The 13,354-nt window shown below is 34.7% G+C and overlaps 1 protein-coding gene across 20 annotated transcripts in view; it reads right to left on the reverse strand.

Moving 5' to 3' along the window:
• Positions 1-13,354, reverse strand: part of CDH18 (cadherin 18) — a 1,104,418-nt gene that overhangs the window by 394,558 nt on the left and 696,506 nt on the right. For 2 of the 20 annotated variants that reach the window (NM_001291957.2, XM_006714435.5), the window contains one exon: positions 12,141-12,237. The exons of 17 other annotated variants lie outside the window; for them this stretch is intronic. The gene's annotated coding sequence lies outside the window, so the exon portion shown is untranslated. Of the gene's footprint in view, positions 1-12,140; positions 12,238-13,354 lie in introns of those variants that run through there. One more of the 20 variants, XM_017008930.3, reaches the window with a different exon arrangement.

The raw sequence follows: 13,354 nt of genomic DNA on the forward strand, positions 1-13,354 counted from the left end.
CTAGGGAGTACATTATGTTCTCTCTGCTTTTGACTATTAAATGTATTTGATTCCTTAGCTGTATTGTCTAGACCTGATTCAGGGATCAGGAGCATTTTTCAAATTCCCACCAGTATCTAACACGATGCCTCCACTTATATTCTCCTCCTATCCTCAGCCAGCGATATTTTTGTCAAATCTGGATACGTAGGGAAAGAAAAACAACAACAACAAAAGCCCTGCTCATTGTTTAAGGCATAAACTTGTGGATTAGAGGTCACCAATATTGCTTCTGAAAACAGAAACCAAGTCTCTTAAAACACATGAAGCATTTTCTCGCTACAAAATGAAGCATGCCTTGAGGCGTTTCTATAATAAAACTCTGAGAGCAATCAGTCTGGAATGGGGATTGTGCATGAAGAACACATAATCAGTATAATCAAATTATTATCCTGTCAAGAAGAAAATGTGTCCTTACAGAACCCAGCATCTAGGAAAACTCAGCAGGCTTTTAGTGACTTTTCCATTCAGCCTCAATGCAGAAGAAAGGCAGTCTTTTGCTCAGAGGCACAAGAAAGTGAAGCATCAAGGAAGGAATTCTGAAGAAGTTTTTACAACTTTACATGCAGCTGGGTTTTGTCAGATAAAGAAGGAAGAGAACACTGCAGGTGCAAAGACAAGATGAAGAAAGCAAGAAGGCGTGGCGAACCTATCTGGTACGAAGTAAGTAGGGCAGTTTAATTAAAGTGCCAGGGAAAGGTGCAGAAAAAGAAATCCCTATTCTGGGGCAAGATTTCTCAGTAGGTCACTCACATCTCAGTTCATCCAGAACAGTCTCATTTTGTCTCTATCAACCTGGCACAATGATTAATATCTCCTCTTTCCGCTCTTGAAAGTAACTGGGTTTGGGCAATATAGTCATTCCACTCAATAGGCAATTCGAGCATACAGTTAGGGCATTAAAAAAATGCACTCTTGGCTGGGCGTGGTGGCTCACACCTGTAATCCCAGCACTTTGGGAGGCCGAAGCAGGCGGATCACAAGGTCAGGAGTTCAAGACCAGACTGGCCAAGATGCTGAAACCTGGTCTCTACTAAAAATACAAAAATTAACCAGGTGTGGTGGTGGGCACCTGTAATCCCAGCTACTCGGGAGGATGAGGCAGAGAATTGCTTGAACCCAGGAGGTGGAGGTTGCAGTGAGCTGAGATTGCGCCACTGCACTCCAGCCTGGGCAACAGAGCAAGACTCCATCTCAAAAATAAATGAATAAATAATGCACTCTTAGCCAACACCCACTCACCTCCTGCAAAGAAAATATTTCTGTAATATAATATGACATTTAATAATTCTACAGACTACTAAAATTGATAACAGAAAATATCAGATTTTATTTTACTCATCACTTATTTGACAATTAAAAAAGCATTATGTGGGACCCTTTAGGAGGAACTAAATCTTACCTTCATAATCTGACCCTGGCAGGAATATAACTGACATAAAGTTTATATTGAATCAAATGGAATTAGATATACAGATATAAAATAAATAGAAGCTAAAGAACACACAATAAAGCAAAATAGAAATATTTTATATTTACATCAATATCTATTTACCCATCTATATTTTTACATCTTATAAGCATCAGAAAAAGTGGCATTTGCTACATACTTCAAAGCTTTTATGTAAAGCAAAAACTTGGAATATAGGCTATTCAATGGTGACTTACTTGCTGATTTTATGAATGACATATTGCTTGATTGATGTAATTTTATTGGAAAGGGTCTTATTTTAGAATATCAGACTCTAAATATATATATTTATATATTTATATAATATATATGCATAATATGTATAATAAGATATGCATATAATAATACAGCCAACACAAATTTACTGATTGCAAAAAATCAGTGTTTCTAAATACACATTTTGGCATTCCATATTATTATAATTATGTGACCTATTGATATGGTTTGGCTGTTTGCCCACCCAAATCACATCTTGAGTTGTAGTTCCCATAATCCCTACATGTTGTGGGAGGGACCCTGTGGGAGGTAATTGAATCATGGAGGTGCTTACCCCCATGCTTCTGTTCTAGTGAGTGAGTTCTCAGGAGATCTGATGGTTTTATAAGGGGCCTTGCCCACTTTGCTCAGCACTTCTCCTTCCTGCCATCACATGAAGAAGGACGTGTTTGCTTCCCCCTCTGCCATGATTGTAAGAATGTGGAACTGTGAGTCAATTAAACCTCTTTCTTTTATACATTACCCAGTCTCAGCAGTTCTTTACACCAGGGTGAGAATGGACTAATAGACCTATATATAAATTACTACATTTCAAGTGAAATGGAATAATATTAGTATGTGTTAGAGGAATAAATATAATAATGAATGATTACCTGCAAAGTTTCCTCTATCCCTCTCCCAATTTCACCACCACCCCCTATCTCTGTGGGGATCCAGCTCTTCAGCTTTATTTCAGATGGAGTGGGTACTGATCCAAGTGGAACAAACTAGAGAAGCCATTATAATTAATAACCTTACACTCAGAAAATCACTAACAAGAGATATACTATAAAAATCTGTCATTCTCCAGGTCCTCAGAGAGATGCATACTAGAATACACCACGAAACATACGCTTAAAATTGAATTTACTGTATTTTATTCTAGGGCTTTGTCACCTATGTATAGTGCATTGATTTAAAAACAAATTATAGTTTGACTCAGACTCAAACGTACCACTTTGTGGAAAATATGTATATCAAATGAGTTGAGACCACCAACTCCTCAGATTCCTCACATGGAAAGAGACTGAACCATAAAAACCTTAGGGACATCCCTCAATATAAGAAGGAACTCATTTCTATAAAATGAAACGTATGTTCATGGGCATTCCTCCCCAGTGCTCAATCCTGGAGTTTACAGAGTTCAAAAAATAGCATAAAAGACCATACAACTCCCCATTCAGCCAGGGAATGAGGGTCCCAGCTCATGTCTGCACTGCAAGTGTGGGGAATGTGAAAGGGAAAAGAGAAGAAGAAACCAGAGGAGCAAGGATGGGCTAAGGAAAAATAGACTTATTTGATTTTTGAGCTTGATATTTTCTACTGGACTTTAAAATGAAAGATTGTATAACTGAAAGCGGACAGCCACTTATGAAATATGACCATAACATCATTAAGGGACAAAATAAGTAGAAGTGACAGAGCCATTATGAAGGCAATGTATGGAGAAAATAAAACAAAATAAAATAATTTTGGTTTAATTTATTGTACTGTGCCATATGCACACTAGAATGCCTTCTTAGTTTCTGAAGATATGCAGGACGTCAATTAATTTATTAATTAAGCACATGCATTAAAACTCAGCATTATCATCCTATGTTTAAGGAGTAAACACATTAATCATCATGCCTGTTTTCAAAAAAATAATCTGAGTTTCAAATAATATAATGTATCTCAGGTACTTTTCCCTATCATGTAATAATTTACCCAAACAGATTTGGTACACAGTTTTCAAGACAACTTGGTGTTAATTTCATTGTACCCACCCTGAGAACGAATGGCTAATTTTGAGCATCTTATAATTTCACCCGATAAAATGATCCCCTAAAATGAACATAATAGGCATCTTTTAAGTATAAGCATTATATACAATGAGTTGGTTTTTATTTTCTCTATCAAGAAAATAAAAATCTTCTTTTGTAACATACTTATTTGTACTGATTTGAATAATAATTCTACACAAAAATGCCTCAAAAAAACTTCCAATGTCACTTTATGACTTCTTGTTCTTGGAAGAAGCTGTGAGGATTAAATGAGATCATCCATTTTTTCAACTACAAAGTTATTTTATATAAGGCATTAGTAGCTTTGCTCAATCTGTTATTAGACAATGCTATATTTACATTATTGGGGCTAAAGTATTTGGGACAGCTAATGAGTAGTTCCGTTTCAATTCACATTTCTAGATAATTCTGTTATACTAACTCCCAAAATTCTAGTAAGGCAAATCTCTGCCTACTTTTCATACCAGTTCACAGTTCTTGTAAGTCTTACTAGAACAACTAACATATCAACATTGCAATTTCAAAGTTATACAATTTTTAATGTTATTTATTTCTAATTTTTCATGTGGGAAATTCAAGTTGTAAACATCATATAAAATGTTCTACCATTAAGCTCCAGTATTTTAAAGGACTGTAGCTTTGCCATTTTATAAACCAAATGAACATATTATTACTAGCAGTACAAAAATACGCCTTAGACAAATATGTGTGAGATCTTAAATAGGTAAGAGAGATGAGTTGATTCATAGCTCTTTTTGACAACCAATATATTCCATGTCCTTACTTTGAGTCAGTTGCATAACACTGTGAGGAATGTCAACATCATTTTAGTCCCTTACAGGTCATGTAATTCTTGTCAAAAAAGAGAGTGGATTCTCACTGTCTAAATACATGTCAGTAGTTACACATGTATTTTGTTGCTCTAAACTTGTTCTACTTTATGCTATCCTAATACAGTTTTGGGAGAAAAGATAGTTTTCTCTAGATATTGCAAAATCAGAAGGTTACATTAATTTTTTCACCATTATATATTTTTATGAGTGCACTTAATGTCACCTTTGATGTTTAGCTATGACTAATTTTGATATCGGTATGATATTCTCTTGCTTATCTATAGAGTATCCTTATGTTATAAGATGCTGAGACTTCCCCAAATGCTTGCAGAGAATAAGATTTCTTCAACTGGAGCCACACCTCCCCTGAGCAAGTTTATGTTTTCTTGTGCTAGAGGTCTAGGCAGCATTAAAAACCATTAATGGCTTCTATTTTAAGAGTTATAACTCAAAATGCTTAAAGGTCTAGGCAAATATAGAAAAACAAGCAGTGTGAATGCAGATGGTGGAGATTAGATGCTACGTGGTCCAAGGATTCAGTGTATTCTTACTCTGCATAAATGTAGAAATTATGTTAGCTCAATAATACACACCTCTGGGCCAGATATTTACCCATGTGGGCCACCAGTTTGTGGCCTTCATTGTGAATTCAGTCATCTTTTCTTTGTATGCTTCTACAACATAGCATACATTTTAGATTTTCCATTTATTATTATTATCATCATCTTTAGCTGACATCATTTGATCACCATATCAGATGCAGGACACTAAACACTTAACCTGTATTATCTCATCTAAGCTTTATAATATTTCTATGAGATGAGTACTAATATTTTATCCACAGATGTGCAGAGGTCATATAACTCATCAAAAGTTCTAAAATTCGTGAGTGGAAGAGCTGTTGTTGTATCTCAGAATTAAGTACCTCAAAAATCCAAATTCCTAAGCTTTTTTAAAAAAATTCACTAATAGAATGACAGCATCCTTTTTGTATTTTCAGAATTTAAGGCACTGCCTGTCATAGAACCAGCACTCACCAAATATTAAAATAGCAAATAAAAAGCTGAGCATGTTTCTACTTTGTTTTACAATTATGTAGCTCAATTCATATACTATTCTAAAGTCTATTTTTATCTATTCATAAACTTATCACATCTTTTTTTATTTCTATAAACTTCTATTCAAGACCCCTTTGATTTCTTTGTCACAATGACAGCAAAGCAAAGCGAAATGAAATAGCACATAGCGTTTGAATGCAGACTCCAGAGAAAAGAAACGTTGATTCCAAACTTTTTTAGGATGTAGCATATTCCTAAATATGTGCATGTTTTCTAACCTCTTAATATTTCCTAATATGAAAAGCTATTTTGGGTTTTTATAAAAATAAAATGAGATAAGGATAAGTCGGCTTCATACTGTAAATTAGAGACCAGATTCCTTCCATCTTGTATGTCTCCCCTGCTCTGAGGCATGAATGTCTTCTGCATTCAGCCAACAGATGGGAAAAGAGAGGATGCAAGATCCTGTGGGAAGTTTTTATAGAACAGGCCTGAATGTAGTTTTTGCTACTTTCAGCCATGTTCCTTTGGCAAGAACACAGCAATTATAGCCATGAAGCTTGTGTGGACCTTACTAAGATGTCCAGTAAGTATCAATACATTTTAGTTAGGATTAATGTTAATAACACTATACTTTATGCCTATCAACAAAATGACATGTGAGTTTCTTTTTTAATCTGGTGTTAGAGAAATCTTGTCTCCCATTGGAAACTGGTGAACCAAATCCTTTCATTTAGTGGAAACTCTTTGTTTTATACATATTTCCTTAGAGTTTACACAATTATGTCATCATTTAATTATAATCCTATACCATAATGTGTTCATAGTCTTATTCAAATGAAGATAAAAGACTATGTTACATTTGGTAAACAGCCTGCTGCTAAGATTCTATTGGCAAGTGAGATTAGTCATCACAGGTATTGAAATGTATTCAGGTAGAGATCAGAAGCTCCCTTGGAAGAAATACCCTAAGATAACCTTAGGGTATGTGAACTACATACTTGTATATTCTCCTTCCTCTAAGGGCAGAACCTGTAGCTGGTTTCTGGTCAATAAGTGATGGAAAAGGTTTATTTATATAGTAAATGTTTAAAATTTTACAAATTTAATTGAGGTTTTGAATCAGTTGACTGAGGCAATCAAAAGGGAGATTCTCATTCATTGGCCTGGCTTAATCATATGAAAGCCATTCAAAGAAGGATTGGGCCCTCCATGAGGTCAGACAAGCTTCCTACTGGCCTTGAAGATGCAAGCTGCCATGAGTTCTGCAGCCAGAAAAAATGAATTCTATCAATAACCTAAATGAGCTTGAAAGCAGATTCTTCCCCAGTCAAGCTTCCAGATGAGAACACAGCCCAGCTGGCAACTTGATTGAAGCCTTGTGAGATCCTGAGCAGAGCTTCAGTTAAGTCAGCTAAGTCAGTTAAGGCTGACTCTTAATGAATAAAAACTGAGATGTAATAAATAGGTTTCAAGCGCATAAAAGCACGGTAATTTGTTACACAAAATAGAAAATTAATATATGCCCAATCCCTCAAGTATACAAGCCTAGAGGGCCTCTCTGGAGATGAGAATCCCAATGTTTGTACTTAATCTTTCCCAATGGTATTGATCTTCTGAGTTCCAAAGATTTAAGAGTCTATCTAAGATAATTAGATAAGTGCAAATGAAGGATAATCTTGTCAAAGGACAGAGGTTCTAGAGAGAAGTATATAAATAGTGAAGGGGAATCTGGTCTGGGACTCAAAGTAAGTACTAATTTTTATGTTGCTAGAAGGAAGTGTTTATTCTAGTTACATGTTATGGCTAGTTTTGTCAACCTAGGTACCATGGTACCTTGTGGGAAACTTGGGGAAAAGCTCATGTATATGGATGCAGAGGACTTTGAAATTCAGGTAATTATCTTCTGAGAAAAAAAAAAAAAAGCCTGAACAAGCATGGCTCAAGAACAAGAGAAAGCATGGTTCAGCTTAAAGTACCATCTTTGTCCTGATCTCATATCTCATTGAAAGTCTAAAATGGGCCTGTAATAGTAACAGCTCATCTGTGGTGGCTACAGCAAAGGGAATGAAGGCACTATCATCTGAAGAAAAACATAGTCGGTGAGGGAAATTCTGGTTGTGTTAACCATACCATAAAATATAATATAAAAATAATGCATGGTGGAAGAGAAGAGGCTTAGGAAAGGCAAGAAGTTGAAAATGAAAAGGCACATAGAATGAAATCCTTAATGACATATACATTCCCTAGTAGTTGATAAAAAACGGAAGCTAAAGATTTGAAGCCTTTGGAAACCTAAGTTAAAAATGATGCATTATCAACTTTATGTTTTGTACTTTCAAAATATCAAAAAAAACTTTTTTTTTTCTTTTGAGACAGAGTCTTGCTTTGTCGCCCAGGCTGGAGTGCAGTGGCACGATCTTGGCTCACTGCAACCTCTGCCCCCCAGGTTCAAGCAATTCTCCTGCCTCACCCTCCCGAGTAGCTGGGACTACAGGAATATGCTGCCATGCCCGGCTAATTTTTTGTATTTTAGTAGAGATGGGGTTTCACCATGTTGCCCAGGCAGGTTGCGAACTCCTGAGCTCAGGGAATCCGCCCACCTCGGCCTCCCAAAGTGCTGGGATTACAGGCATGAGCCACCGTGCCTGGCCAAAAAAAATCATTTTTGATACACAAAGCAGAAATAATTTTCTCTTCAGTTTCCACAAAGAACATGTTGCAACACATAATTTGTATACTGGCATGTGCTCAAGGGCATGTATACACTCAGAAGTATGTCATTTCTCCAACACAATATTATAAAATGTAAATTATTTTAAAATATTAAAGCATGTGTAGATTTTACCTAAATGTACAAGTTTCTATCTTCTCTTGAGAAATGTGAAGATCTGGTGAAATGTGATCTATATTCTGTTTGGCATTGACCTCTCTGACCTGGGAAATGCATTATCAATTCAGAATGGCCTGTTCTGCACATCACTGCAGTCTACATAAGCCAGTCCTCATTTTATTACATCTGATTCTAATCGCTTATTTAAGTTATCTGCCTGACTCCTTTAAGCTATTAAGTTTAGGATTTCTAAGGTCTTTAATAATATCTTCCACAACAACTTTATGAAACTATAACAAAGCATTTTATATGTTTCTATAGTAACCATCCTAACATAACTAATCATACTTTGTTTTTAATCTTTGTTCAAAGATAACAGTGAAATCTCCTTCTCGATCCTATAGTCTACATTTAACATCATAGTTTATAATAAACTTGCTTTCTTCCTCTTACGGTCTTGACCTTGAATTTAGATTTGTTCCTTATTAGTAGAAAATGACTTTAATACATTTTAGAAAAATAAAGAATGGATTTAAAGAGAGAGAAATTGAATTGAATTTTACTATATCATTTTATTTTTATGTGTTTGCTTACTGAATGCTCACAAGACCTTGTCTGCTGCAACTCATTTATAGGAATACTTATTTTTGTAATGTGTAAAGGACATAACAATAGTAAATGGAACATTAAGTGCTGTAGCTCAGTTTTTACACATTTTAAGTTTCTGGTTGCAATTTAGAAAAATGCTCAGGATGGAGCAGAGGTAGCGGGGAGCATATTCTGTCACACACCATAAGTGCCCTTAAAGGACAGCACTAGACCAGCCATAGTCAATCTTTAGATTGCATCAGAATCACCCAGAAGGCCTGTTAAAAACAGATGGCTAGTGGAGTCTGAGAAGATGCTGGTCTAATGAGTTCACAGGTGATAATTCTTCCCATCTTGGAAACACCATTTGGTAGCCACTGCATCCAACCATAATCCTCTTAATAGTAGATACCTGACTTTTTTAATTCTTGAATCCCTGTTAAATCACACTTTGTCTCACATATGGGAGATGCTTACTACAAAAGTGTTAAAGTAATTAAGCGTTTGATATTTTGACCTAATAATATTTGACTAATAGGATTTGATGGGCCCCAACTAATAGAAAAGTCAGCAACTGAGAGAGAAGTGACTAAACTTAGCTTTCACTTTTGCCTTTTACCTATGTAACTGGGGAATCCCAGGCTTTGTACTTGAAAATATTCTTCTATTTCTTCCATGGGTATAGATAGATAGATAGATAGATAGATAGATAGATAGATAGATAGATCGATCGATCTATAGATAGATAGATGGATAGATAGATATACATATAGATTATAAAGATTTAAAGCCATTGGAAACCCAAGTTAAAATGATGCATTATCATTTTTATGTTTTGTACCTTCAAATCATAAGAAATCATTTTTGATACATAAAGCAGAAATAATTTTTATATATATACATATATACATACACATAAAATCATAATTTTGCCTATTTTTAAACACAAGTAATCAAAATAGAATTGAATCTTTTATATTGTTGAATCTAGAAAGAATTTGTTTACTTTTTCCTTAATTTTTATCAGTGTTTTATTCATAATTACATTTCAATTCTTTGTATTTTTAAAATATTGTAGCCAAATTATAGTTTATTAATTGTCATTGAAAAATAAAGAATTCTGGAAGATACAAGATTTTATATTTTTAAATTTTATTCCTTGGTAATTTTTTTAATTGTAACTTTTTTTTATACACAGACTACATCCAAATTTCAACAGGACAATTAAAATGAATCAAAGTTATTCCCTAATATAGAGGTTTTTTTATTTCCCAATAATTAAGGCAACAATAGGCTGATGTTTACCAAAATTGTCTGCTCCTGGCCATCCAGGTTTGGCTATAATTGCTGAGTCCTTGCCAAAGGGACATGGCTAAAAGTAGTAAAAACTACATTCAGGTGTGGTCCATAAAACCCTCTCACAGGAGCATTTACTATTATATGGGACTGATTTTTTAAAAAATCAATCAAAATCCTACCCATTTGTGAAGAAATCTTATTGACAAAGAAATAATGATCCTGGACAATAACATTTTGATAACTTGAGTCTCAGATAAACCTTTGCATCCTGAGGCTTGAATATACAGGTGGAAGATTCTAGGAGTCAGTCCCAAAGAACAGCTTATTTTTCACTGCCTACTCCAGATGTAGTTATGGAAGAAAAAAGTGCAAGAAATATCAACTATAAGGTACAACTAGATGGTTTATAAACAATAACGGGCCAGAGAGTTCCCGTTATCTGGAAAAATCACTGTCTCATCCCCAGGAGTATTTAAATATTGATATGAACTGGAAACATCTGTTTGCTTCTTATTTCTCCTTTTCCCAGGAGGGAATTTTTGTTGTGGTTACCCTGTCTCAGTTCTGCCCTTGATTTGGGATATCTGCAGGGGTGAGGTGGGATTGCCTTTTAGATCCTGACCATTTGGAGAAGACTATTATCCAGGAATCTTTAACTTTTATGTATGGGATAATGCTTGTCTTTTTTGGGGTGGCATGAGTAGGTTTTATGTAAAGCATGAAGATTCAGTTATTTAGTGACCAGAAGGGAAAACTCAGGTAGGGACTGGTTCATTGTTTGCTCAACCAATGCTCCGGTTTTCCTGGGCACAGAGCTATGCTAACTTCCTAACCTTCCTTGAAGTTAAAGGTGGCTATACAACTCAGTTCTGGCCAATGAAATCCGTGTGGAAATGATTAAGTCACTTCTTGGCATGGCTCATAAAATCTTCCCTTGTGATCAATCCTCCATTTGCTCTACCCATCTGGTGGATGAACACACAGAAAAAATTGAGGCCTTCGAAGAAGGCTGAGCCACAGTAGAAGAATGAATCCCCCAATGACTATGAAAACAAAGACCCTCACCATGCACAACAGACTTCAAATCACCTGTGTTAAGCCACGGAGACTTGGAGATTTGCCTTTTAGCAGTATTACTGTACCATGAAGCAAGCGTGCTACAGTTTTGGTAAGATTTCATTTTGGCTAAAAACTTTCAAACTGTAAAAAAAAAACCTATATTAAATGTCGTAAAAAGTGGGGAAAATCGTTACTTTTATTCAACATTGTGAAGGCAATACTGGAAAAATCTTCCTAAGTAACTGTACTTTACAGTATGCTTTGAATTTTAAATGTGGGTATGCTTTGATTGAGCAATTCTAATTTGGGGATTTTTTTCCTAACAAGAAAAATGTGAACAGTTGCACAAGAATGTAAATACGAGGATAGTCATAAAGGTAGATATTATAGGCACATAAAAGTATAGATGAAAAGGGGCTAGTTACATACTTCACAGCATGTGCACATGAAAGAATTCAGTGTAGCTATTAAAAGGGTGTCATGTAATTTTTTTATTGACTTATTCAAAGCTGGCTATGTGTGAGACATTTATGTTTATAGTAACATAGATTGAAAAAATAGAACTGGTCCTTTCCTCTTGGAACATTACAGCTTGGAAGTAGGGCCTAAAACAAGTAGATAGAATTATGTAACTGAGATTACAGCAAAGAGAATTTCAGTGTCATTCAAAGGCACCGATGTAGGAAAATAGAAGCATGTTCTTCAGCCTTAAGAGACAGATGTTTGAGGACAGGCTGTGCTACCTACTTCACTTAAGATCTGGGAAAAGTTGTTTAGGAATCAAAATGATAGCTATTCACAAAATCATTTCGCATCTCATATATCATAATACATGTGAAGCATTTCAGATAATATCTGACATATATTAGGTGCTCAGTAAAACTAGGTATTGTTAATAATGTTATTATGATGATTCATTACCACTTTCCTTATTGACTTGGAGAGCACTGCATACTAACTTCGTTGTAAGAAGGTAGTTGTAGAACCAAGGGTTCAATATGTTCCCATTTTTGAAAACCTAGGTGGATAAAAAGGAGAAAAAAGTTTTCCAAAATACTTTTCCCTTTAGGTATGGCAATTTGAGGGGAATTTCAACTTATTCTTTATAAATTTAATTGTTTTAATTGTCTATGATTGCCAATATTTTTGAGAGAGACAGCCAGATGTTATCCTATTGTGATTAGATTGCTAACTTTATAAAACTTACATGCTTAAAACACATGACATGGCAGACCTTCAACCATCATTCTAAAATATACAAACTGGAGTTAGTACTAGAACGTATTTATATTATTCTTTGCTACAATGTCAGAATACAAACATACGGCACACAAACAATTGTTAGGAACTTAGGCAATAGATCTTTTCATGCTGCCCTGGTACAATGGTTCCATCTAGAGAAGAAAAGCCTGTGAATGTTGTCTGCTTCCTGAGTTATTTCTGTGGCTGATGGAAAGGAGATAATTTACCTACCTAAAAGAAACAAAGTTCCTACAGTGTGGCAGGCACAGTGCTAGATAGTTTCTATCCATTCTCTCATTCTCTCATTTAAGGCTTACAATTATTCAAATAGGGAGGTATCACAGAGGTTTATCTTATCCATGAAAAAAAATCAAGGTTCATAAACATTAAGCAACTTAACTACAACTACATAATTTGTAAGTAGCAGAAAAATGTAATAAAATAGTAACTTACATTACATGAGTCTATGATAAATGTACTCTCATACCGGAAAGTCATTTTATAAAAAAATCTTTTTTTGTGTGTCACAAAGTAAAAATTTAAATTTCAATTTTTAAAGACTTAATTTTTAGAACTAGTTTTCGAATGTTGCAAACTTTTAAACAGTAAATACTATTCAAGGAGATCAAATAGAAGCTAAAAAATGTCTCTAGCTTATTACTAAGAATTTTTCATTTATTCATGCATTCAAATATCTACCATTATATACTCTCATTTTTATAAACAAAATATAAATTATATAATTTAAAGCCTCTTTCAAGTCCAATGAATAATACTCTAATCTAAGCTTTCTAAGCTTTCTTCAGCTAAAGTTATCTTAACTTGCTCATTACACTTAGTGCTTTAATCTAAGCAGAATCAATTTTTTTAAAAAAGCAAGTGTAATGTTGCAA

The sequence above is a fragment of the Homo sapiens genome, chromosome 5 (assembly GCF_000001405.40).
Source record: "Homo sapiens chromosome 5, GRCh38.p14 Primary Assembly".
Lineage (NCBI taxonomy): Eukaryota > Metazoa > Chordata > Mammalia > Primates > Hominidae > Homo > Homo sapiens.